We start from the raw sequence: 25480 nt of genomic DNA, 5'->3' as shown, positions 1-25480 counted from the left end.
AGCCCAGAAGGACCTGGCAAAAGTCATTTGGACAGCTGGTGTATTTCCCTGTGAAACAGCAGGGGGAGGTGTTTCCATCCTATGTGTCTTCTAGCGTGGAAATCAGCCAGGAAGGACTTCAGCGGTTTGGATTTTATTAAATGCAGTATTTGGTAACATCATTAATACAGAAGTTGTCCATAGGCACCCGTTTCCTATGTAGACGGCTTCTCTGTGAATAAAAAAGTGTATTCTTTTCAGAGCATCGTCATGTAGTCTTTCCATCATTCTACCATTTCAACTTCATTGGCAGTTTACAGAACGTTTTTGGCCTGTCCATAATATTCATTGCAAAGCATTCTTTGCCATCTTGAATATTTCATCCCTAGTAGTTTGTTTTGATACCATCCAGCCCCATGGTTATTAGTACTTGTGCACTGAGGACTCCTAGATTTAGGTCTAGCCCAGAGCTTTCTGACCACTCAACACATACATCTTAATACATTCCAACAGAATTCCCAGTTTTTGTTCTCTTTGCATGTCAGTAAATGACTGTAGTTGCTTGGATTTAAACCTTATTGTCTTCCTTGGCCTCCTTTTTTCTCACACCACGTGCGCTCTGTTAGCCACTTCTGAGGGCTAGAATCTGACCACTGCTTAACACCTTCACTGCTACGACCTTGCCTGAGTTGTTTCCTAAGGAGCCAGAGGGAGTCTGTTAAAATGTACCTCGGATTGTTACTTCTCTATGCAAAACTCCACCATGGCTTTTCCCTTATTTGAGTAAGTACTGAGCTATCTCTCCATCTCCAATTCTTCTTGCGCTCACTGCTTCAGCCACCATGTCCCTTTGCTGTTGCCTGGACATGCCAGGCATGCTTCTGCCTGAGTCAGAACTTTGTGCTTGCTTTTCTCTCTGCCCAGAATGCTTTCCCCCACTTTAACCATGTAACTTGCACCTTGCTTCGTTTAGGTCCAGTGATCCCTTGCCAGTGATTACCTTAAATTGATGACCTCTCCATGGCCATTGCCCAGCTTTATTTTTTTTCTATAGCACATCTTATGGCCAACTTACAGACTGTGTCTGTAGTAATCTACTTGTTTGTTTATTGTCTGCTCTCTCCCCCACTAGATTGTAATCTCTCTGAGGTTAGAGATTGTGTGTGTTCTGGACATAGCTCCTAGGCCACCTAGTATGAACTCAGTAAACATTTGCTGAAATAATGGGGGAACTGACAGAATCTCCTCTGGAGATTGATGTTTATTTGATGATCAGTGTTATAACTACATTTAAGTGTTATGTTCTAGGTCCTGGGACTTCTCCTGCCCTCCCTGGTTAGTTACTAGTTGCTGGCATCTTAATTGAGTTGTTCTAGTGGCTCTTCTGCTTTTCTTTTTGAATGACATCAGGTTAACAGAGAGAGCAGGGTTAATACATTTGGTCAACCTAGAATCACACCCAGTTAGAATGGCTCAGACATAGAAAACAGCAAATTGAATTTTGACTGAGACTTGTGTTTTTAGTCAGAGCCAGTTTGCCTTTTATCTTAGACTTAGAGATTCTAAGTGTTTAAAAGAGCTGCTCCGATGAGTTTTGTGGTTCCATTTTTCCTTTGATATAATTTGTACCTGTGGATTAGAAGTGCATTTTGAATGCTTTTGATTTTTTTCTATAGGTGTGAAGTGTAATTGTATTAAGTTAAATATAAAATTCACCCTGTCATTTCCTTTCATCACACGCTGAGAGCTTATGTGCCATGGTTGCAAATTACTTTGAATCTTAGAGCTTTGCAAACTGAAAGAAACCCTGTCCAACTTAATCTACTTTTGAACATGCTATACAGAGATAGTAAGCCTGACCAAGAATTCCTGTATATTAAAGATTACCGTGGTCCAAAGAAGGCTCTCTTTCATTCTCAGCATTACGTGAAATAAAACTCTACTAGTTTAATTGACTGTGTTTTTACAGCTTTAAAAGGTGGTTTTTCTCAGTTGCAGAGGTAAAGCTCATCCTTGTGAATTTCGTAGCCAGATGCACCTTTGTTTGGCTGTAGTGAAGCCTGAGCTTTTTCTTGTTAGTTTGTAATTCAGTTGCTGCTGCTGCTGTGTGTTTGTTTTTAAAACAGCTTTGTTGAGATATAATTCACATGTCATATAATTTACCTATTTAAAGTGTACAATTGGCTGGGCATGGTGGCTTATGCCTGTAATCCCAGCATTTTGGAGGCCAAGGCGGGCGGATTGCTGGAGGGCAAGGCAAGCAGATTGCTTGAGCCCAGGAATTTGAAACCAGCCTGGGCAACACAGTGAAACCCCATCTTTGCAGAATACAAAAAAATTAGCCGGGTGTGGTGGCATACACCTATAATCCCAGCTACTGGAGAGGCCGAGTTGGGGGGGGTATTGCTTGAGCCCGGTAGGTCAAGGCTGCAGTGAGCCGTGATCACGCATGCCACTGCACTCCAGCCTGGGTGACAGAGTGAGACCCTGTCTTAAAAACACAACACACACACACACACACACACACACACACACACACACACACACACACACACAGAGTTGAGTGCATTTTAGAATATTCACAGAAGACAGAGTGAGACCCTGTCTTAAAAACACAACACACACACACACACACACACACACACACACACACACAGAGTTTAGTGCATTTTAGAATATTCACAGATACTGGCAACTATCACCACAATCAATTTTAGGGCATTTTCATCATTCCCAGAAGCAGCCCCATAACCATAGCAGTTACTCTGTATTTACCCTTGCAACCCTAGGCAACAAGTAATCTGCTCTCTGTCCCTATGGATCTGTCTTTTCTGTACATTTATTACAAGTGGAATCATATAGTATCTAATCTTTTGTGACTGGCTCTTTTCATTTAGCATAATGTTTTCAAGGTTCACCCATGTTGTAACATATATCTGTACCTCATTTCTTATTGCTGGATATTTTATTGTGTGTATGTATACTACACTTTATTTACCCATCTGCTTGTGTTTTGCATTTATCTTTTCCACTTGGTTTTCTGTTTACAGCCATGCTTTGGGAAAGTGAGTTTAGGGATTCTTTTCCCCTTTCAAGATCAGGGATTTGGTTTCATCGGCATTTGGCTTCCCTTGCCCTTGGCATTTGTGGACACCAGGTTTTCTCTTTAGTTGTGTGACAGCGGAAGCTTCCACTTGACCCCATGACCAGAGCAGGTCACCTATGAGTAATTCTGTTCCTAGCAAGCTTCAGGACTTGCCAGTAAACAACAGAATTTTCAGGATATTTGATTATGTTCTCCTAATTCACCCTCAAACATCTGTGGAATTACTGTTTCAAGCAATACTTTGAATTTGTCTAGTTTATTTCAGAGAACAAAGAACATGGCAGACTATAGTTTTCGTAATGGTGTTTTATGGATTGCATATTAGTGAAGCATAATTTTGCATGAAGCAACACAGATGCTTAACCCTTTGAAATCTCTGCAATAGGCAAATAATTTGTTTAAAGCAGTAGTTCTCAACTGTGGGCATATTTGCTCCCCAGGGGATATGTGGCAGTATCTGGAGATATTTTTGTAGTTCTCACTGGAGCAGTGGGTTGCGTTGTTAGAATCTGTATGGGTTGAGGCCAGGAATGCTGCGAAATATCCTACAATGCACAGGATAGCCCCCCACAACAAAAAATTATCTGTCCCCAAATGTTAATTGTAGTTCAGTTGAGAAGCCCTGTTTAGAGTGAGCAGTGTATTTCCCTTAACCTGCTGAGTAGAAGAGACACAACTGTTGGCAGTGTACAAGCTAACTGTATATAATTGGAAAAGCTTCACATTTAAAAGTATATGAAAGCAGTTATTTGTATGAATGAGTTTGTGTGGGTTTTGTTGTTGTTGTTGTTGTTTTTTGAGACGGAGTCTTGCTCTGTTGCCCAGGCTGGAGTGCAGTGGCGCCATCTTGGCTCACTGCAACCTCTGCCTCTCAGGTTCAAGCAATTCTCCTGCCTCAGCCTCCCAAGTAGCTGGAATTACAGGCACGTGCCACCATGCCCAGCTAATTTTTTGTATTTTTAGTAGAGATGGGATTTCGCCATGTGGGCCAGGCTCGTCTCAAATTCTTGACCTCAGGTGATCCTCCTGCCTCGGCCCCCCGAACATGCTGGGATTACAGGCATGAGCCACCACACCTAGCCGAGTTTGTGTGTTTTTTAAAGAAAGACAGGATTTTAAATTTTTATTGGAAACCTCCTGGGGCACCTCATCTTTGGGAATTTTTGCTTCAAATAATAAAGATTATATATCGTTTCTTACTTGGTTTTAATTGGGTTGTTAATTGTAGCCTTGAGTTTTGCTGTTTTGGGTACTTTTGCACCCTCTGCAGTGGTCTTGTGTTTTGTTATTAGTATGTCTTTTTGGAAGAAATTGAGAAGCCTTATTTATTAGAGTCTTTTAATCTTAGTTCTCTCAGTTGTTTCCCCAAAGCTCAAAGGAGATGAGGAAGTGCTACTATCAGCATTAAACCCAGTCCTCATTAAAGGGTTTATTTTTTGCTGCCTTCTGCTCTGATACCACAAAGGCTGCTCTTTGAATTTGACCTGGGCATCCCATTGCAGTTATTTAGGTTCCTTAAATAAGCCGTATATTCTGAGAATGAGTATATAAACTCTTAGCAGGATTGATTGAGTTTACTCATTAACCTCAGAGGTAGAGAATCGTGCAGGGGTATATGTAGCTCTTTGCTTATGTGGTTGGTTTGGGTCAGGTGGAAGAACTTTAAAACATGGAAAAACTCTCAATACCACATAACTTTCAGATAAAAAGCTGTTTTATTTCTGTCTGAGTTTGCAGATCTGCTGACTTCATATTTCAGTGATATCTTGCAGCTTCATCTGCAATTCTCTGGCATATTTTGAAGTATTCTCTACATCAGGTTACTGTTTATGAGAATGCCTTACTTCTTATTCAGTGAATACAAGTGTTAGAGTGACATTTCCCTTTCCAGAGCAAAAGCCATTACGTCTTCTTTCCCAGGCATGTTGATATGAAAGGCAACAGGAAAGGAAAATTGATTTCCCTTTGGAAGCAAGTCGCCCAGCTGTAGGGTGCCTGTTTGGTTTTCTGCTGCATGCTGGCTGCAGCTGCTTCTCTTGGAGGCAGGGCTAGCAGAGTAAGATGTTCATGTAGGTCTTCCACACGTGGACTGTCTCCTTGCCTTGTGTTCCTAAAGGAGGATGCTAACACATTTTTTGGATACACAATAAATGCAGAAATGGCACAGGCAAAAGTACTTGAGGTACCTCGGTTCCTTACTTAGGCTCTCAGAGAATATGGATTTGAAAGTAAGTTTGTTTGGCCGACACTAACAACTCTTGGTGGAAAACATCTCCTACTGCCAGATAAGATGAATGTTCCTAGACTGCTCTTTTCATCTCAGTAGCCTGGCAGCACCTTTTTCACTTAACCTACTGTATTGGATAACTCGGCTTTTAAGGCCATGTCATTTAAGGCAGGATGGCTTTGTGGTTAAGCATATAGGCTCTGGAGTCAGCTGCTTGGGTTCATATCCTAGGTCTCACACATAGTTGTGTGAGTTTGGTCAACTTGCTCAGCCTCTCAGTGCTTACTTTTGCATTGATAAGATATACATAACAGTAGTACTGACTGAATAAGGGTATAGCTAGGATATATGACCTGGCTTTCATATGTTTTTCCTGCATGGTTATTTGTTGTGTCTTTTTTCTCTCTCAGATGTATCCAGTTTGGATCATAAATTACATTGTCACCTTTGTTATAGTGAAGATTAAATGAGTTAACATGTGTAAAGTGCTTAGTGCATATTAAGTGCCCAGTGAGTGTTGGCTGCTTTATTATTTTGGGGGCATTCCATTATCCCTTCCACCTGCTCTACTTAAATTTACTTTGTACTGCTCTTTTTCCCCTGTAGCTGCTATTTAACTGAACACTCTCTTAAGTGAAGTTCCTCCCACCTGGACTGTCTTTCGCCTTCTCTTTGCGTCTCCTTATCCTACTCATGGTTTATGAACCAAATCAAGTACCTCTTCAGTTATTTATTCATGAAATATTTTCTTTCCCCAACACAAGTCTCATCATAATGCCCTCTTTACTGATCCAACGTATGTGTGAGAGGGTGGGAAGGAAGAAGAAATAATTTATTATTCCTCTTTCTGTGCCAGGCAGTGAGTTAAGGAATTGGAAATACAGCAAAGGGCAAAAAACAGTCAAGGGTCAGTCCCTCAAGGAACTTCTAGCTGGGAGGTGGAGATAGAAGCTAACCAAATCACACAAGTAAATGTAAAGTTACAGTTGTGGAAAATGCTATGAAGGGAATTTAACCTGTTTTGAACAAGAAAGCTATCCTCAGGACGTTGCTGTTGAGCTATGACTTGAAGGAAGGGTAGGAGGCACCTAGGCCAGACGAAGAGCATTACAAAGGGTAGGAAGAACCTTAGCAAAGGACTCTGGGTAGGAAGGAGTGTGGTGTGTTCTGGGAACTGAGGGAGGGATAGTGTGGCTGGGTGTAGACTGAAAGACAGTGCTGAGAGATGAAGCGAAAAAAGGATAAGCACCTTGCAGATCATGATAAGGATTTGGATTTTTAATGTACCAAAGTGAAGAGTCACTGACGTATTGTAAAGTGGGGATTGACATAATGTCATTAGCCTTTTTAAAGGAACACCCTGGCTGCAGTACAGTAAAATAATTGTAGGAGTTCAGAGGAGTGGATTTGAAGAGACTAATCAAGAACCTGATTCAAGTGGTCCAGGAAAGCCATACTAGTAGATTGAACTAAGATTTGTGATGTTGGAGGTGTTTGGAGGTATAAGTTTGAGAGAAATTTATAAGGTAACAATGAGATAATTTGTTGATGATGGGATGTAGGGATTAAAGAGAGGAGACAGGAGGATTGCTTGAGCCCAGGAGTTCAAGACTAGCCTGGGCAACAAAATGAGACCCTGTCTCTACAAAAAATTTTAAAAATTAGCCAGGCATGGTGGTGCACGCAGAGTATGCCTTTGGTTTGGGCATGTTGAGGTACCTTTGAGATATCCAAGAAGAGACCCCAGGTGAACAGTTTTCACATGTGTCTGAAGCTGAAGGGGAGATCTGGTAGACATGTACTTGTGTGGATCCTCCTGTGTGTCCTGGTATCTGATTGGTGATGAACGCATTATATATGAGATTGGCCAGGTAGAAAGTAGAGGATGAGAAAAGAGGGAGTGCCCCAACAGAACTTCTACACTGGTTGGCCTAGTATAAGAAGTGGAGGGAGCAGTTAGATAGGCCCTGGAGAGGATCGTGTCTAGAAAGTGAAAGGAAAAGAGGCCTTCCAGGAGGGTGTGTGGCCAGCCCCTGTCAGCTGCTACTGAATAATCAAATAATGATGAGGAAAATGCTCTCCTGAATTTGCTGCAGAGAGGAAATTGCTTGAGTGGGAGTTGCTTCACGGAATATGACATGGTAGACATGGTCCTTGCCTTTGTGGACTTTGCAGTTAGTGGGGAAGTGATGTAAGTTAACAACTGATAACACTAGTGGGATCAATGAGGGCCATTTTACAGGCAGGATTGGGGGGCAAAGAGAAGGCTGGACTCTGGGTAGGTCTGGGAGGCCTCCTGGAATTGGAGAGCAGAAACACTGGAGACTCTGAGGGTCAGTAGAAGGTACACAGACAAAGGGGCGGGGAACAGTATTCCCAGCAGTTGGGTTCTAGGGACTGAAGGAGTGTCTTGAGGCAGCAGGAGGAGCATGCAGGAGGGGTGGAGGTGGAAGCAGTAGGGGAGAGGTGAGGCTGGAGAGGTGAAGGGGCAGCCCCATAATCTTTGAAAAGGAATAGTGGGCATTGTATGCTTTAAATGAATTGTATGCTTTAAATGGTGATTCATATGGAACGTGAATTATATCTGAATTGAGCTATTATGAAAAAAAGTGGTGGGACGTCAGATATGCTGGCTGGCTGGCTGCACTGGAGGACAGATGGGAGGAAGGCTAAGGCAAACAATGTTTTGTAGTCACAAAGATCTGTTAGAAAGCAGTTGTATTCATCTGCATGAGGGATGATGATGGCTTGAAGTAGGTAAGCTAAGATTCAGTTGGAGCAGTGGGTCCATTACAGAGGTGTTCAGGATGTGTCTGGTAGACTAAGTGCTAAGCAAAAATGCCTAGAGTATGGTCAGGCATTTGAAAAATATAAGTATGTCTTACTGTGGTTGAGTGAGGAAGAATTAACTGGAGGACTTCGCTCACTGTATTTAGTCAAAAGTCAAACATCCTAACAAATAGCCTGGCTTGAGCAATGGAGATGAGTAGAGCTTGAGGATTGGGAACTCAGGAGGGAGGGGCAGATTTCCATGGATAAGTGAATTTTACATGACCCAAGAGGAAATATTTTTAATTTTTTTCTTCATTTGTAGTTAATTCTCCATGATTTGTTTCTTAATCATGGAACTGGATAGATTTTACCCCCGCCCAAATAGTTAAGTTTCTTGAGGATAGGGGTGTTTTGGCTACCTTTATATCTTCCATAGCTTATTATCTACCATAGTAGATGTAAATCATGACTGAAATAAATACATATTATTGATATTTTACATTTGTAAAGCACTTTGCAATCTATAAGTACAATTTACATATAGTATACTTGTGTAATTCTCAACAGCAGCATTGTGAAATAGGTAGGTCTTGTCCCCTTTTACAGCAATGAAACTGCGACTCAGACAGGTAGAGTGATTTGCCCAAGGCAGTGCAGCAAGCGGCAGTGCTAAGAACTTGGATCTTGGCTTCTCAGTCCAGTATCCCCAGTTCTGTCCTGGGCCCCTTCCTTAAGCTTAAGTACTGACAGGAAGTGGTTTTCTTTTTTTGTTTTTTAAGAGACAGGGTCTCACTCTGTTCCCTAGGCTGGAGTGCAGTGGTGGTGATCACAGCCCATTGTAGCCTTGAACTCTTGGCCTCAAACAATCCTCCCACCTCCCACCTCAGCCTCCCAAGTAGCTAGGACTACAGGTCTGCACCACCACGCATAGCTAATTTTTAAATTTATTTTTCTTTTGTAAAGATGGGGTCTTGCTGTGTTTCCCAGGTTGGTCTCAAATGATTGCCTCCTTGCCTCAAATGATTTCTCCACTTTGTTATCCCACAGTGCTGGGATTATAGGCATGAGCCGCTGTATCCAGCCAGGAAGTGGTTCTCTTAAATGAGATTTGGACCATGAGTATGACTGAAATTTTTGTGCTTTGTCTGAATTGGTTTTGAGAAGTAGTGTGAGATGTTTGGGGGTGGTGTTGGCTTCATTTTGAAGAGGTAAGATGGTGTTTGTAGAGGCTGAAGTAACCTAAAATGAAGAGTAATTCTGTATATTGGCTCTGCTGAAAGCTTTGATTCTTTCCCCTAGATTAAGTGGGGAATCTAATAGGATCAAAAAACTGTGAGGAATCTGGCCTTCAGCTAAATAGGTGAAGCTGCCATTTTTTGAGCTTTGGCAACTGCCCACATATTCTTACTTAAGATGAAATGATGATGTATAATCTTCTAATCAGGAAATGATTGAGAGGAATATACTTAAAAGGAGTCCTAAGGGTACTGCCTTTGGAAATGTGTAACTCATAAGTCTATTTTGAATATCCTCTGCACTCAAGCGTGAGCAATAAATGTTCTCATGAGTTTTAAAAGTTTTGTCAAAAAGTTGTACTCACTTCCTGGGTGATCTCATTCAGTCTCATGGCTTTAAAAACTAAATTATTATCTCCAGCCTGGACCTCTGCCAACTTCGACTCTGTGATTTTCTAGGCTTCTTGATCAAGCTTAACACATTCAAAGCCAAATTCCTGGTCTCCCCATGAAACTCAAACAGCAGCTTCATCCATCCAGGCCAGATGTCCTTTTTCTTTTTTCCCTCTCTCTCTCACCTCTCAAGTTTATCAGCACATCCTATTTATTTGACTCTTACCTTTAAAACATACAAACATGAGACTTTCCCCATTCTCTGTTGCTACTACCCCAGCCCTTCCCAGCTGCTGCTTGTCTTCCCGGGGTGATCGTGCCCCACTGCGCTCCTTGAGGTTTTATCAGCGGCCAGAGTGATCTCCGGTAAACAGAAGTCAGATCATGCCTTTCTTTGCTACTCACATCCCTGCTAAAGTGTCATTCGAGTAACTTCATTTCACTTGAGTAAAAGCCAGAGTCCTTTCCCTGGCCCATGAGGCCTGCCAGGATCCAGGTCCTCCTCCCCCTGCCCCTTCAACCTCTGAACTCATCTCTGACCTCTCTCCCCCTTTTTGTGCTATTCCTGCCCCTCTGGTCTCCTGTGTCTTGAGTGGGCCTGGCTCATTCCTGCTTCTGGACCTTGCACTTTTTCCCCTCTTCAGGAATCACCTCCCTTCATGTGTCCTTGGCTTTCTCTCTAATGCTCCTACTCAGGGTCAAAGCCCCCTCAGAGAGGCCTTCCCTGAACATCTTGTTTAAAATTGCAGTCCTGCAACACTGTGTCCCCCTTAGATTTCCCATGTAAGATCTTCTCATTAGGTATGGTGCCTTTTGTTGGTGGTCTCTCTCCACTGCTGAGCACATAAGCTCAAGATAAGGGCAGGGGTTTTATGTTGAGTTTTCTGCTGTTTACCAACACCTGGAGCTGTAAATAGCACATAATAGGCATTCACTTGACATTTGTTCACTGAGTAGCTGAAGCTTGTTGTAAATCTGAAATGTATTCTACATTAGATTTTCTTCCTTTTCTTATTTAAAGCATGTTATAATGTGTTTCCTGTTTCACTGGGTTGGGTAGTGATTGACACAGATATTTTCAATGTTTTTGGCTTTCCGACTGGAGAAAAATAGCTTTGGGGGCAGAGTGAGTGTGTTTCTTAAATCTGTCTGCGTGAATCATCAGCATGGATGAATGTAGGAGAAGTTGGTGCCTGTGAAGAGCTGGAGATCCTGGCAGCACAGGCAGCAGGAGTTCCTGTGCAAGCCAGATAGGGTTGAGCTCTGAGACAGCTGCACTGGAATCCTACTTCGTGCCCATTGGCTGCGTGGCCTTGTGCAGATGATCTCTTCTGAGTTCTGTAGACTGTAAAGCGAGGATGACAACTTCTGTCCAGTTCACTTCATGAGTTGGAAGAATCAAATGAGGGACTTGCTCTGTAAACCTCATGGTGCTATAATAAAGATGCTGTTGTTGTATCGTCTACTTTGTAGATCATTTCTAGCAAATTGAAGTGACAACTCTCCTTCTCAGTGCCATCTGGTTCCTCTCTGGGTCCCTTTCTTTATCTGTCACATCATTGGTATGTGTTGATCACTGTACACTAAGGCGCAGAAGAATTATAATTCATATGCTAAACATAGAGGAAAAAAATATATTCCCATTGAGCTGTATTTTAGAGCCAAATGTAAATGGTAATTGGATTGACTTTTGCTTAGATTATTAATGTTCATACTTATCTGAAAGTTGGTTATATAAATATGTCATTAATATATAAATGATATGGTATTAATTATTCATATAATTTAATATATTAATATAACATGCAGATTATGTAATATATAAATAGAGCCAACTTTCAGATAAATCAGAACATTGATTTTATAAATATACACATATACTGGATTTTGTTTTATAGACATCTTTATTGTTTCTTGAATTTTTAACTTTCTTGCTCACTTTTGGCAGAAACAACTCTATTTTCTTTGTAAATAGAAACAGTGTATGATTTTGTAGTGAGTAGTGTTGAATGTACAATTTGGACTTACTATTTTTTCTCTTTGAGTGCTGAAAAAATGTTTTCTACACAGTTTTCTGGAGCAGTTATCTTGTTAACCCCAGGGAGAATGATTTTTTTTCTTAAAGTTATCAGAAGTGTTTCTGTCTGAAACTGCAGTTGCAGTGGAGAGGTTTTCAGCCCAAGCTTTTCATTCTTTTTGGACTCCTAGTAGACACTGATGAGTTTTCAGGGTCAAAGAGGAACATTTTAACAATGGTGTTAGCTGATCGTTTTTTGTTTGTTTTTTATTTTGAGACGGAGTCTCGCTTTGTCTCCCAGGCTGGAGTGCCATGGCACAATCTTGGCTCATTGCAACCTCCGCTTCCTGGGTTCATACGATTCTCCTGCCTCAGCCTCCCGAGTAGGTGGGATTACAGGCACCCATCACTGCACCCAGCTAATTTTTGTATTTTTAGTAGAGACAGGGTTTCGCCATCTTGGCCAGGATGGCTTCGAACGCCTGACCTCAGGTGATCCGCCCGCTTCAGCCTCCCAAAGTGCTGGGATGACAGGCATGAGCCACCGCCCCTGGCCTGATAGTTTTCTTTCTTTCATGATTGGCTCGTTCATGCTCTAAACTTAAGACTTGTCGAGGAAGTAGTAGGTCTCTGTATTTTCAGTTGCTAGCACTAGTAGCCTACCAGGACTTGGGAGTTTATGACTATCTGTTTAGCAGACGGTTCATCTGGGCAAAACTTTTGTAGGCAGTGATAATTTTTCCTTTTCTTGAAATATGTTTAGAAAATGGAAATCCTGTTTGAAACAGCATGTTTCTTACATAGAAGGAAGTAATCTAGTTTTGTGCTACATGCGTTCCTTCTTCTAATGTAGCTTATGATGCATGATTGCTCCTTCATCACCTATCTTCCAAAGACTAAATACTTTCTATTTTGCTGAATGTCTAAGGATATTTGAGATGCTTATGAGGAGGTCTTTTCTGGTAAGAGGTTTGACCTAAGAGCGCTGCAGAGAATATATGGTAATTGTTATGGTTTTAGCATGACCAAAGAGAATTTTCTTTTTTCTTTCTTTCTTTCTTTCTTTTTTTTTTTTGAGATGGAGTCTCTCTCGTTGCCCAGGCTGGAGTGCAGTGGCACGATCTCAGCTCACTGCAACCTCTGCCACCTGGGTTCAAGCGGTTCTCCTAACTCAGCCTCCCGAGTAGCTGGGACTACAGGTGTCCACCACCACGCTCGGCTAATTTTTTGTATTTTTAGTAGAGATGGGGTTTCACCGTGTTAGCCAGGATGGTCTCGACCTCCTGACCTCGTGATCTGCCCACCTCGGCCTCCCAAAGTGCTGGGATTACAGGTATGAGCCACCATGCCTGGCTGACCAAAGAGAATTTTCTCTGCATCTGAAGCATGTAACTGCAAACTGATTTGTTTGTGGTTGTCAAGTAAAGAGGACCAATCTTTTGTTTGTTTATATGCACTGTTTCCTTTCTCACCCTAGTTGCATGAGAAACAGAAGCTTCTTAGATTGATCGGTTGCCTCCTTTTGTTGCATTTGAGCATTGAGAACAAGGACCATGAGTTTTCTCCTCCATTGTGGTTTTAGTTCTAACACTTGGCACATAGTATTTAGTAAAGATTTGTTGAATAAGTGAGATAGGGTATTGGGGAAGATCATAAGAAAAACAAAAGATAAATTATTTATTTATAAATTTATTGTTAGGTCTATTCCAAAACTGACTTAGAAAGACAAAATTTTTTCCTGCTATAAAATATCTGTAAGAACTGTGTTAGCTTGGAGTTTGGGATTCACTTTTCCCATTGCAGACGCTTAAAAACCTCAAGACTTTTCTTGTTGGGTTTCTTTTTGGGGAGTACTTTATTAGGGATACCATTTATAGTAGAAATCTGGAAGACTGTAAAAACCACTTAATATTCCCGAAAGATGGAAGCTTGTTTCTGGAAGCTGTTATGTTTTGTTAAGGCAGAGACAATACATTTTCTTTTCTTTATTGAGATGGAGTCTTTTGCCCAGACTGGAGTGCAGTGGTGTGATCTCGGCTCACTGTAACCTCTGCCTCCTAGGTTCAAGCGATTCTCCTGCCTCAGCCTCCCAAGTAGCTGGGACTATAGGCGTGTGCCACTGTGCCCAGCTACTTTTTGTGTGTTTAGTAGAGACAGAGTTTCACCACGTTGGCCAGGCTGGTCTCGAACTTCTGACCTCACGTGATCCCCCTGCCTTGGCCTCCCAAAGTGCTGTGATTACAGGTGTGAGCCACCACGCCTGGCCAGTAATACATCTTTAGAGAGATCATTTTCCTTGGAACATAACTGAAAATGGTAGGATGAAAAGATGTGTAAAATGTAACTGAAGGTGGAAAAATCTTGCTCTGAAGCTCTCACTTTCGTTTGAGTTAAATATTATTTTTATTCTTGAAGGAAGTTCTGGGAGTTTGTAGAAGTAGCCAGAAAATATCTTTAGAATATAGTGCTCTATGCGATATCCTGAGACTTTTTTTTCTTTTCTTCTTCTTTTTTTTTTTTTTTTGAGACGGAGTCTCTCGCTCTGTCGCCCAGGCTGAAGTGCAGTGGCACAATCTCGGCTCACTACAAGCTCCGTCTCCTGGGTTCACGCCATTCTCCTGCCTCAGACTCCTGAGTAGCCGGGACTACAGGCGCCCGCCACCACACCCAGCTAATTTTTGTTGTATTTTTTAGTAGAGACAGGGTTTTACCACATTAGCAAGGATGATCTTGATCTCCTGACCCCGTGATCCATCTTCCTCGGCCTCCCAAAGCGCTGGGATTACAGGCGTGAGCCACCGCGCCCGGCCTATCCTGAGACATTTTTGACAGTGCTGCAAACTATTACTATTTTTTCAGGTAGAAATATTTTATTTTATGTTGGAGATGGGATCTCGCTTTGTTGCCAGGGTTGGTCTTGAACTCCTGGCTTCAAGTGGTCCTTCTGGCTTGGCCTCTCAAAATGCTGGGATTACAAGGCATGAGCCGCAGTGCCTGGCCTGGAAATAATTTTTACTACAGATTCTTTCCTCTTTAAATTAATATTATGAGTTATGAAGCTCCTTTTGTATAATAATACCCATTATATGTTGTCTACCAGGGTATTGGTTTGCTTTTTCTTTAAAAAGGAGAAAACATGTAAGGTGGAGGAAGTGTAGTTTACTCTTAGGCATTCAGACAGTTTTTATTATTGGTGTCATAAAAAACCCCAAACCATTTGCTGAGACCAAAAACTGTAGTTTTTAAATTTTAACACTTAATTTTTCTCCTGTGGCTTGTGCGAAGTTTTTAGGTGTAAAGCATGAATAAGTAAGAGATTCATTTAACAAAACATTATTTTAGGAAACAAATATGAAAAAGCGTTAAAACCATTCTTTTTTCTCTCCTAGCATTTTTGAAACGTTGGGGTTGTTGGAGTGGTTGGATTTTCCCTGGAATTGAGTGAGAAATTCAGAAGACTGAAGCCCAGGCTTACTGTCTACCTTTCACGGAGGCCTAGCCGTGAGAGGACAGAAGAAGGCACGTGGCGAATCATGACAGCGGACAAAGACAAAGACAAAGACAAAGAGAAGGACCGGGACCGAGACCGGGACCGAGAGAGAGAGAAAAGAGACAAAGCAAGAGAGAGTGAGAATTCAAGGCCACGCCGGAGCTGTACCTTGGAAGGAGGAGCCAAAAATTATGCTGAGAGTGATCACAGTGAAGACGAGGACAATGACAACAATAGTGCCACCGCAGAGGAGTCCACGAAGAAGAATAAGAAGAAACCACCGAAAAAAAAGTCTCGTTATGAAAGGACAGATACCGGTGAGATAACATCCTACATCACTGAAGATGATGTGGTCTACAGACCAGGAGGTAAGGAGCCTTACGTTTGGGTCTTGCCAATGTTTACAGTGGGGGAATGATCTTGGCATTATGGTGAAATAAATACGCTTTGTACACTTTAAGGAAGGCTTGGAATCTAGAAGAGTAGGAAACTTAATTTGGTAAACATGTGACCCACTTTTGGTCAGTTAGGTTCACCCACTTCTTGCTTGTGTCTGCCTTAATTTGCTCTTGTGTCCTGGTTTATGCATTCATGAGTTCTTTTCTTATTTTCCTGTGCTGCTTGTTCTCTAACTGGACCATCTGCTTAGTATTTTTTTGTCTTTTGAATTCATGCTTGCTTTTTAATCTTCAATCATAAATGAGACTGTGGTGACCCTGCAGAATTGACTGCTTGGTGGAGACAAGTAAACCTTAAGATTCTTGGAAACAGGAAATTTTACCTTGGGACAGGATCGACCAGACTCTAGAGAGGTACTTTTTAAAAATGGCCTTTAGGCCAGGCATGGTGGCTCACGCCTGCAATTCTAGCACTTTGGGAGGCTGAGGCGGGTGGTGACCTGAGGTCAGGAGTTCGAGACCAGCCTGACCAACATGATGAAACCCTGTCTCTACTAAAAATACAAAAATTAGCTGGGCTCGGTGGTGTGCACCTCTAATCCCAGCTACTTGGGAGGCTGAGACGGGAGAATTGCTTGAACCCAGGAGGTGGAGGTTGCAGTCAGCCGAGATCACACCACTGCACTCCAGCCTGGGCAACAGAGCGAGTCTCCGTCTCAGAAAAAAAAAAAAGCCCTGAAGATCAGAGATGTATTGCTCCTGCTAACTTCCTTTTCCAAAAATTTGAGCTTCAGGCTCTCTAATCAACAATAATAGAAGTAGTCATCTAACCTGCTTGGTTTTCCAGAAAATGTATTATGGTCACACCAGTATATTGTGGCTTATAGCATTGCTCAAAAAAAGACAGACTCAACTTTTAGATGAGATCAGGGAAACAAGTGAGTCAAAACCTGTTGAACACTAGCAAAGCCTTTCCTTTTCATTTGATGTATTGTGTGTATTAAGACACCTTTTTTAGGCTGGGCACAGTGTAATCCCAGCACTTTGGGAGGCGGAGACAGAAGGATTGCTTGAGCTCAGGAGTTCAAGACCAGCCTGGGCAACGTAGTGAGACCCCCATCTTTACAAAAAATTTTTACAAATTAGCTGGGCCTGGTGGCACACACCTGTAGTCCCAGCTATTCAGGAGGCTGAGGCAGGAGCATCACTTGAGTCTGGGAGGTCGAGGCTGTAGTGAAGCATGATTGCACCACTGCTTTCTAGCCTGGGCAACAGAGCAAGACCCTGTCTCAAAAAAAAAAACAAAAAAAAACAAAACAAGATCCTTTCTTACAGAAGCCAGTAAAACCTAGGTGAAATCATTTTGTTTGAGTTACTTTTACTGTTGAAGAGTGACATGAATTTTGTATGAGATGTAATTAGCAGATTAAAGCTGCCCATTTTTATGTTTTTCTGAGAAGGAGATTAAAATACTTCACTGTGTTATGTCCATAATCTGGAACAATCATTTTACTGAGGAATGCTGTTACTGTTATGAACTTCACGTCAAGTTCCAGATTTTCATTCTCCCACACAGGAGTTTTTTAAATTTCAAAAGATGTCAGTGGGGCTGGGCACGGTGGCTCATGACTGTAATCCCAGCACTTTGAGAGGCTGAGGCGGCGGGAGGATTGCTTGAGTAGTGTGGAGACCAGCCTGGGCAACATAGTGAGACCGTATCTCTGCAAAACAGTAAAAAATTAGCTGGGAGTGTGATGAGACTGCAGTCCCAGCTACTCAGGAGGCTGAGGTAGAAGAATCCCTTGAGCTCAGGAGGGCAAGGCTGCAGTAAGCCCCGTTCACATCATAGCACTGCAGCCTGTGCAGCAGAGCAAAACCCTGTCTCCACCCCTCCCCCCCGCAAAAAAAAAAAAAGTCAGTGCTAGAACTTAATACAGACAAATTTGCATTCACAGCTACAATTTCTTGGTTGGAGATTAACTGAGAAGGTATTTGTGTGATATAAATTGATCAGAGTGGAGGTTTTAGAGCAGTTAGAAATCTGCTGTAACGATTAAATGATGTGTGTAGGTTACAGTACTGTCTGTATTTATCTTTGATGTAGACTCAGCTATTGGGCAGTAAGAATTTCTTAGTGACTGAAGAATCTCTCAGAGTTACCACAGATTGCTTGTTTAGGGCGTACGCACATCTAAATCATGGGAAAGGAACAAAACATGTTAACCCTTTTTTTTTTTTTTTTTTTTTTGAGGTGGAGTCTCGCTCTGTTGCTTAGGCTGGAGTGCAGTGGCGCGATCTTGGCTCACTGCAAGCTCCGCCTCCCGGGTTCACGCCATTCTCCTGCCTCAGCCTCCCCAGTAGCTGGGACTACAGGCGCCCACCACTGCGCCCAGCTAATATTTTGTATTTTTAGTAGAGACGGGGTTTCACCGTGGTCTCGATCTCCTGACCTCGTGATCTACCCGCCTCGGCCTCCCAAAGTGCTGGGATTACAGGCGTGAGCCATCGCGCCTGGCCAACTCTTTTAGATATAGATTACATTATGATAACTTCAGTATAAGGAAAGATTTACTTTTTTATTATCCTTTCTCTTGATAACAATTTAATGTGGTAATACAGTTTGGATCACTGTCAAAAGGCAAGCTGCCTTGTGCAGTATTGAATGCTAACCTTTCTCAGCATTTATAATATGGAACGTTATTCTGGTGTCAGTGGGGACATTTCACCAAAAATAGTAGTCAAATATGTGTGGAAAATGCTGCCTGTACAGTCTCCCTCATGAGAGAGTCAGAATTAGTGACTCCAAGAAGCCCGACAGTTAAGGAAACCTCTTTAACATGAAAAACACCGGCTATTTTTCCCATTTATGGGACTGTGGCACCCTGTTTCTGCTGAGTATCTCCCTAAAAATAGAAATAAACCAACAAACCACAAACAGTCTTGGATCTGGGCACAGTGGCGTGTGCTTTTAGTCTCGGCTACTTGTGAGACTGAAGTGGGAGGATCTCTTGAGCACAGGAGGTCAAGGTTGCAGTGCTCTATGATTGTAGTGAAATTTTTACAAATTAGCTGGGCGTGGTGAACTATGATTATAGGAAGTCCTCCTGATAATGATTTGGCTGTGTGTCCTCACCCAAATGTCACCTTGAATTGTAATAATCCCCACGTGTCAAGGTCGGGACTAGGTGGAGATAAATGAATCATGGGGGCAGTTTCCGCCATCATGTTCTTATGATAGTGAGTGAGTTCTCACAGGATATGATGGTTTTATAAGGGGCCTTTCCACCTTTGCTCAGCCCTTCTCTCTCTTACTGTCATATGAGAAGGATGTGTTTGTTTCTCTTTCCACCATAATTGTAAGCTTCCTAAGGCCTCCCCAGCCCTGTGGAATTGTGGATCAATTAAACCTCTGTCCTTTATAAATAACCCAGTCTGAGGCAGTTCTTTATAGCAGCGTGAGAATGGACTAATACACCTCCCTTCTTGAGTCTGGAAGAATATGTGAAGGGAGATTGCTAAGGACTTATTTACAGAATGGTTCTTAAAGTGCTTGGGCAAGAACTATGTATTTGTGGAGGCTGGTAGTGTTTCAGTGAATCTGAAAACCTTTGTGACATGTGAGAAAGGTATGCTGTCTCTGAAAGCTAAGTGTATTATGAAGGATCTATAAAGGCCACACATGGTTTGGAAGATTTCCGTGGCACCCAGAGCAAGACAGCTCCATGTGAGGCACCCTTTTGCTTGAGTGGGGGCTGTGCCTTTGCATCCTGCCAGGTCCAGTGGATGTCTATTTGGTAAGGAGACTGTCTTTGACCTTCTCAGTGGTTTCCTTTCGTTTTGGTGATGGATTTGAAGCTGAGTTAGCTGCCTTCTCCAAACAGCTTTTTCTCTAAATGAGTATTTGTTAAATATTGTCTGTTCTTTAGGGTTACTTAAACTGAAGAATCAGAAGTAGGGTGCTGGGCTGGGCAAGGTGGCTCACACCTGTAATCCCAGCACTTTGAGAGTCTCAGGTGGGAGGATCACTTGAGGCCAGGAGTTTAAGGCTGCAGTGAACTACATGCCATTATATTACAGCCTGGGTGACAGAGCAAGACTGTCTCTTAAAAAACAAAAAACAAAACCAAAAAAACCAGCAGAGTACTGTGATTAGATTCCCAGATGGGGGTTGAGTTTTTTCTTTCCTTTGTTTTGTTTCCTGATTTTTTTTTTTTTTCTTTTGAGACAGGGTATTGCTCTGTCATCCAGGCTGTCAGTGGTATGATCACAGCTCACTGCAGCCTTGACCTCCCAGGCTCAAGTCATCCTCCTGCCTTGGCTTCCCAAAGTGCTGGGATTATAGGCCTAAGCCACTGCACCTGGTCTTTTACTTTCTTGATATAAACTACTACAATAACATCCTTTGTTAGTGATGAAAAACCATTATCCTCACCCACTTGCAGAGATCCTGTGTGCTTAGTTGTATCTTAAAAGCTTAGGATCTGTGGAGAATGTTGTAAAGGATATCTTCAATGGATTACTAGCTTAAAAAAAAACAGAGAGTCTCACTCTGTCGCTCAGACTGGAGGGTAGTGGCGTGATCATAGTTAACCACATCCTCGAACTCCTGGGCTCAATTGCTTCTCCTGCCTCAGCCTCTTGAGTAGCTAGGACTACAGGTGTGCTTACACCTGGCCTATTAACAATTTTTTTGTAGAGATGGGGTCTTGCTATGTTATTCAGGCTGGTCTTGAACTCCTGGCCTCAAGTGATCCTCCTGCCTCCATCTCCCAAAGTCTTGGGGTTATAGGTATGAGCCACTGCATCTGGCCAAATTACTAGTTTTTAAATGGTAGATTTTTTTTTTTGAGACGTAGTCTCAGCCTGTTGCCCAGGCTTGATGCAGTTGTGAGATCTCAACTCACTGCAACCTCTGCCTCCTGGGTTCAAGCAATTCTCCTGCCTCAGCCTCCTGAGTAGCTGGGATTACAGGCACGTGGCACTACACCCAGCTAATTTATTTTTATTTATTTATTTATTTAATTTAATTTAATTTTTATTTTTTTTTGAGATGGAGTCTCACTCTGTCGCCAGGCTGGAGGGCAGTGGTGCGATCTCGGCTCACTGCAACCTCCGCCTCCTGGGTTCAAGCGATTCTCCTGCCTCAGCCTCATAAGTAGCTGGGATTACAGGCGCGTGCCACCATGCCCAGCTAATTTTTGTGTTTTTAGTAGAGACGGGGTTTCACCATGTTGGCTAGGATGGTCTCGATCTCCTGACTTTGTGATCTGCCCGCCCCGGCCTCCTAAAGTGCTGGGATTACAGGCGTGAGCCACTGCTCCTGGCCTAATTTTTGTATTTTTTGTAGAGACAGGGTTTTACCACATTGGCTAGGCTGGTCTCGAACTCCTGACCTCAGGTGATCCACCCACCTTGGCCTCCCAAAGTGCTGGGATTACAGACGTGAACCACCGCTTCCAAGTGAATAGATCTTTAATACTCATTTATTTCTATGGGATATAAAGCACAAATTAAGATTTTTCAAATATTTATTGCTTTCTACATCTCTGAATTGGTTTTACTACTCAGAATAAGTATAAATTATAGGGACCTCTCGAAATGTCACTGAGAATGAGCATAGCAGGGATACTTTGAGGATAAAGGTAGGCTTTCATATAATCATACTTTTCTGTCCCAAGCTATATTTAAATTGTTTAGTGTTTAGAAGCATGTGATCTTATGGAGAAATTAAATATTATTTAGAATTTATCACTACGGTTTAATCTCATGCGTTGTCACAACCAGGTCTTTTTCACCTTTGCTGCTAAACTCTGGGATTACCTTAATTTTGTCCTTAGGAGCTCAGCATAATAGATTTTGTTACTTACACTGCCCATGTTCCCGCCTGCCTCGGGGCCTTTGCACTTGCTCTTCTCGTCTCGGTAACACACTTAATTCTTATCTTTTCTTAAGCTCTGCCACCCCAGTGTCACTGCCTTTCTCCCAGGTTAGTCAAATACATTTCCTTAATAAATACTGTTATAGCCTTTTTTGTATCTTTTCTTCTAGCACTTAGAACAGTAATAATTTTATTAGGATTAATAAGTCTCCCTTCTCCAAAAAAACAGCAATTCTTATTTTCCCCCACTCATCATTGAATTCCTGCCATCTACTGACAATAGTGTACACATAGTGTGTATTCCATAATATATATACATTTTTTTTTTTTTTTTTGAGACGGAGTCTTGCCCTGTCATGCAGGCTGGAGTGCAGTGGTGCAATCTCAGCTCACTGCAACCTCCGCCTCCTGGGTTCAAGTGATTCTCCTGCCTCATCTTCGAGAGTAGCTGGGATTACAGGCGTGTGACACCACGCCCGGCTAATTTTTGTGTTTTTAGTAGAGTCAGGGTTTCACCATGTTGGCCAGGCTGGTCTCGAACTCCTGACCTCAAGTGATCTGCCCACCTCGGCCTCCCAAACTGCTGGGATTACAGGTGAGAGCCACCGCGCCCAGCCTGTATTCCATAATATTTGTTGAATAAAGAAATTTCTAGAAACATTAAAAAAAATTATTGACTCATTGATGATGTTAAAATTAGAATAAGACTTCTGGAAGTCTGTTTTGTATTACTTCCCAATGAATGATTTAACAGACTTGTTTAAAAATAAAACCAAAACAAAAACCTTGTGGGGCTCTATTGTATATTGTCCTTGAGTCAGATCTAACTTCTTTGTTGTCTGTCAGCCATTACTCCTGTTTTGAGATGACTGTCACGGTAACAAATTGATTTATTACACAGCTGTGTGCAGCCAGATTTTCCTTCTGGGCTTCTTTAGCATAGGATATTGATTTCTGGAGTTTGCTGTAGGTGGCATATTAATTTCTTTCTACTGTTTTCAGTTAGGTTCTAGGAAATTTGATTCCTTTATTTCTGGTGTAGGTAGAACTGGTTAAAAAACTAACTTCATATTATTGTGAGATTTTTTTTTTTATTTTGGCATATTGGTATTGCTTGCTATTTGGATAATGAAATGTATTTTTTTTTTCAAAAGTATGTATTAATTTTTTAACATTTTGTCATATTAACTGATAATTTTGTTTGATTGTCCTATTTACCCTATAGTCCTAGAATATGTGTTCCTTCTACTTTCATGAACATAGTGCAAAACATGTATTTATGTATATAAGTTTGTGGTTTGTGAAATCTTAGGTGATGCAAAATATTTGACCATTTTATTTGACAATTTTGAGGAAAAATGCCCTGGAAACTAGAATTGTTTACTTTGATCACTTAAGTGTTATTTTCTTTTGATGCAAATGGAATTTAAGCTGGAAAAAATTCAAACTAGGCAAAATGAAACCTGAGGATCTAGTTTGAATAAAAATGGAATATACGTTATTTCTAAAACCTATTTAAAGTAAATGACTATAGGTCAGGTGCAGTGGCTCACGTCTGTAATTCCAGAACTTTGGGAGGTGGAGGTAGGTAGGTAGATTGAGCCCAGGAGTTCAAGACCAGCTTGGGCAACATGGCGAAACCTTGTCTCTACTCAAAATACAAAAGTTAGCCGGGCTTGGTGGTGTGCTCCTGTAGTCCCAGCTACTTGGGAGGCTGAGGTGGGAGGATCCCTTAAGCATGGAAGGTTGAGGCTGCAGTGAGCAGTGATTGCACCACTGCACTGCAGCCTGGGTTACAGAGTGAGACCCCATCGCAAAAACAGGTAAATGATTTCAACATGAAACATGATGTTGAGTGGACACAGAAGAGCATAATACTGTATAATTCCTTTTATAGAAAATTTTAAAACAGCCACAACTAATCTTTGGTGTTTGAAGTCAGGAGAGAGATTGCCCTATGGGTACAGGGAACAGAACATTAAGGGGACCCCCAGGTTCTGGCCATGTTACGTTTTATGGTACTGGTTACATGGACTTGTTCTGTGAAAATTTACTGCATTTTGCACTTCTCTGTATATGTATTACACTTCAGTAAAAGTTTGCCTTAAAAGAAAAAGTAAAGATAACATGCAACTATTTTCTAAATGGAAAATTTCCATTCAATCAAGTTACTGTTTAAAGTGGGGAGGGAGTCCCCGATATTTTAACAAATGGTCCTAACATTTAGCTACTGCGTCTTCACTGAGGTCTGTGGAGGCTGCAAGTGGTGTCACATCCTTAGTTCTCTGAATCATCGAAAGCTTCTGTAAGGCAATTAATTACTCAGACAAACATTTCCTTCCCAAAATAAAACAAAACCAAGATGTGGTATTTGGTGTTCCAGGGGACACACACACACACACACACACACACACACACACACATACATATTTTAAATAGAAGCTCATTTGATCTGTAACTTTTTATCTACATCTCAATATTTAGAAGAATTTTAGGTATTAATAGATGTGACATGCAAATGAAGGTGTCTTCTTGAAACATTCATATTTTGTGGTGGGGTAGTTTTATTGATAATGGCAAGAATATTTTTGTGTAACATAGCATAAAGGCATCTTTAGGCAGAGCTTAATGTTTTTTTTCCGACATGTGACAAATTCAGTTGCACTTATTAGACCTATTATTAATCTGCTTAAAGCTTTTCAGTGTATTCCCTGTTCACCAGCAGGTTTGTTCCCAGAACCTGGCACTGTAGACCCTCTGTGACCTAGTTGCCTATCTGCACAATCATCTTTAATGTTATTTAATCAACGTTAATCTTATTTGGGAGGAAACACAATGTGGCTGTGTGTTAGTATGTTAGGGATGCTGTGGCTGTATAACAAATGGAGTGGCTTAAACAACAGAGGTATGTTGTCTTACAGTTCTGGAGGCCACACATCCAACAGCAAGGTGTTGGCAGGGTCGTGTTACCTCTTTTTCATTTCTTTTTGAGACAGGGTCGCCCAGGATGGTGTGCTATGGCATGATCATTGCTCACTGCAGCCTCAATCTCCTGAGTAGCAGGGACTATAGGCATGCATTACCATGCCTGGCTAATTGTATTTTTTGTAGAGACAAGGTTTTGCCATGTTGCCCAGGCTGATCTTGAACTCCTTGGCTCACACTATCCGCCCACCTTGGCCTCCCAAAGTGCTGGGATTTCAGGCATGAGCCACTCCACCCAGCCTCATGTTACCTCTGAAGGCACCAGGGAAGGATCTGTTTCAAGCCTCTGTCCTTGCTTACAGTAGTTTGCTGCTTTGTGGCAGCGTAGTGGTGATCTTTCATAGCATTCTCTTTGTGTACATATCTCTGTGTCTATCTACATTTTTCCTTTTTGTAAGGATGCCAGTCATATTGGATTAGGGCTCACCTTACTTAATGTTAACTAATCACACCTACAGTGTAATTATATTTTCATGTGTCCTTATTTTAGTTACATTGGCAATGATGACCCTGTTTTTTTTTTGTTTGTTTGTTTTTTTTTGAGTGGCGGGGAAGGGTCTCACTCTGTTGTCCAGACAACAGTGCAGTGACATGAACACGGCTTACTGAAGCCTTGAACTCCCGAGCTCAAGTGGTCCTCCTGCCTCAGCCTCTCAAGTAGCTGGAACTACAGGTGCACGGCACTGTGCCCAGCTAGTTTCTAATTTTTTTTTAGAGAAGGGATCTTGTTTTGTTGTCTAGGCTGGTCTTGAACTCCTGGACTCAAGCCAGGAGTCTTGCCTCAGCATCTCAAAGTGTTGAGATTACGGGCATGAGCCACTGTGCCTGGCCTTACCTGTTCTTTAATAAGGTCACATTCTGAGCTATTGGGAGTAAAGACTTCAACATACGAATTTTGGGAAGGACAAACTCATCCTGTAACAGGCAGGAAGAGCTTTGTTGTTAGGTAGACTCAGGTTCAGGTGTTTCACATTTGAGAGCTTTGTTGTTAGGTAGACTC

General features: G+C 41.9%; 1 protein-coding gene across 2 annotated transcripts in view, besides 2 other annotated features; it reads left to right on the top strand.

Annotated features, from left to right (window-relative positions):
* The window catches only part of RERE (arginine-glutamic acid dipeptide repeats), a 465237-nt gene that overhangs the window by 146081 nt on the left and 293676 nt on the right, over positions 1 to 25480 (top strand). For both annotated transcript variants that reach the window (NM_001042681.2, NM_012102.4), the window contains one exon: positions 15119 to 15587. In NM_001042681.2, the coding sequence (NP_001036146.1) occupies positions 15263 to 15587 (325 nt within the window). In that variant the 5' untranslated portion in view covers positions 15119 to 15262. The remainder of the gene's footprint in view (positions 1 to 15118; positions 15588 to 25480) is intronic.
* Positions 7090 to 7139: an enhancer, noted in NCBI's record as "active region_109". NCBI's record gives its function as "activates an Ori minimal core promoter by ATAC-STARR-seq in GM12878 lymphoblastoid cells {active_cell/tissue: GM12878}" and the evidence as "EXISTENCE:reporter gene assay evidence [ECO:0000049][PMID:35858748]".
* Positions 19438 to 19517: an enhancer, noted in NCBI's record as "active region_108". NCBI's record gives its function as "activates an Ori minimal core promoter by ATAC-STARR-seq in GM12878 lymphoblastoid cells {active_cell/tissue: GM12878}" and the evidence as "EXISTENCE:reporter gene assay evidence [ECO:0000049][PMID:35858748]".

The sequence above is a fragment of the Homo sapiens genome, chromosome 1 (genome assembly GCF_000001405.40).
Source record: "Homo sapiens chromosome 1, GRCh38.p14 Primary Assembly".
Lineage (NCBI taxonomy): Eukaryota > Metazoa > Chordata > Mammalia > Primates > Hominidae > Homo > Homo sapiens.
Note: the sequence above shows the minus strand (reverse complement) of the source record. Positions and strands in the feature narration are given on the sequence as shown.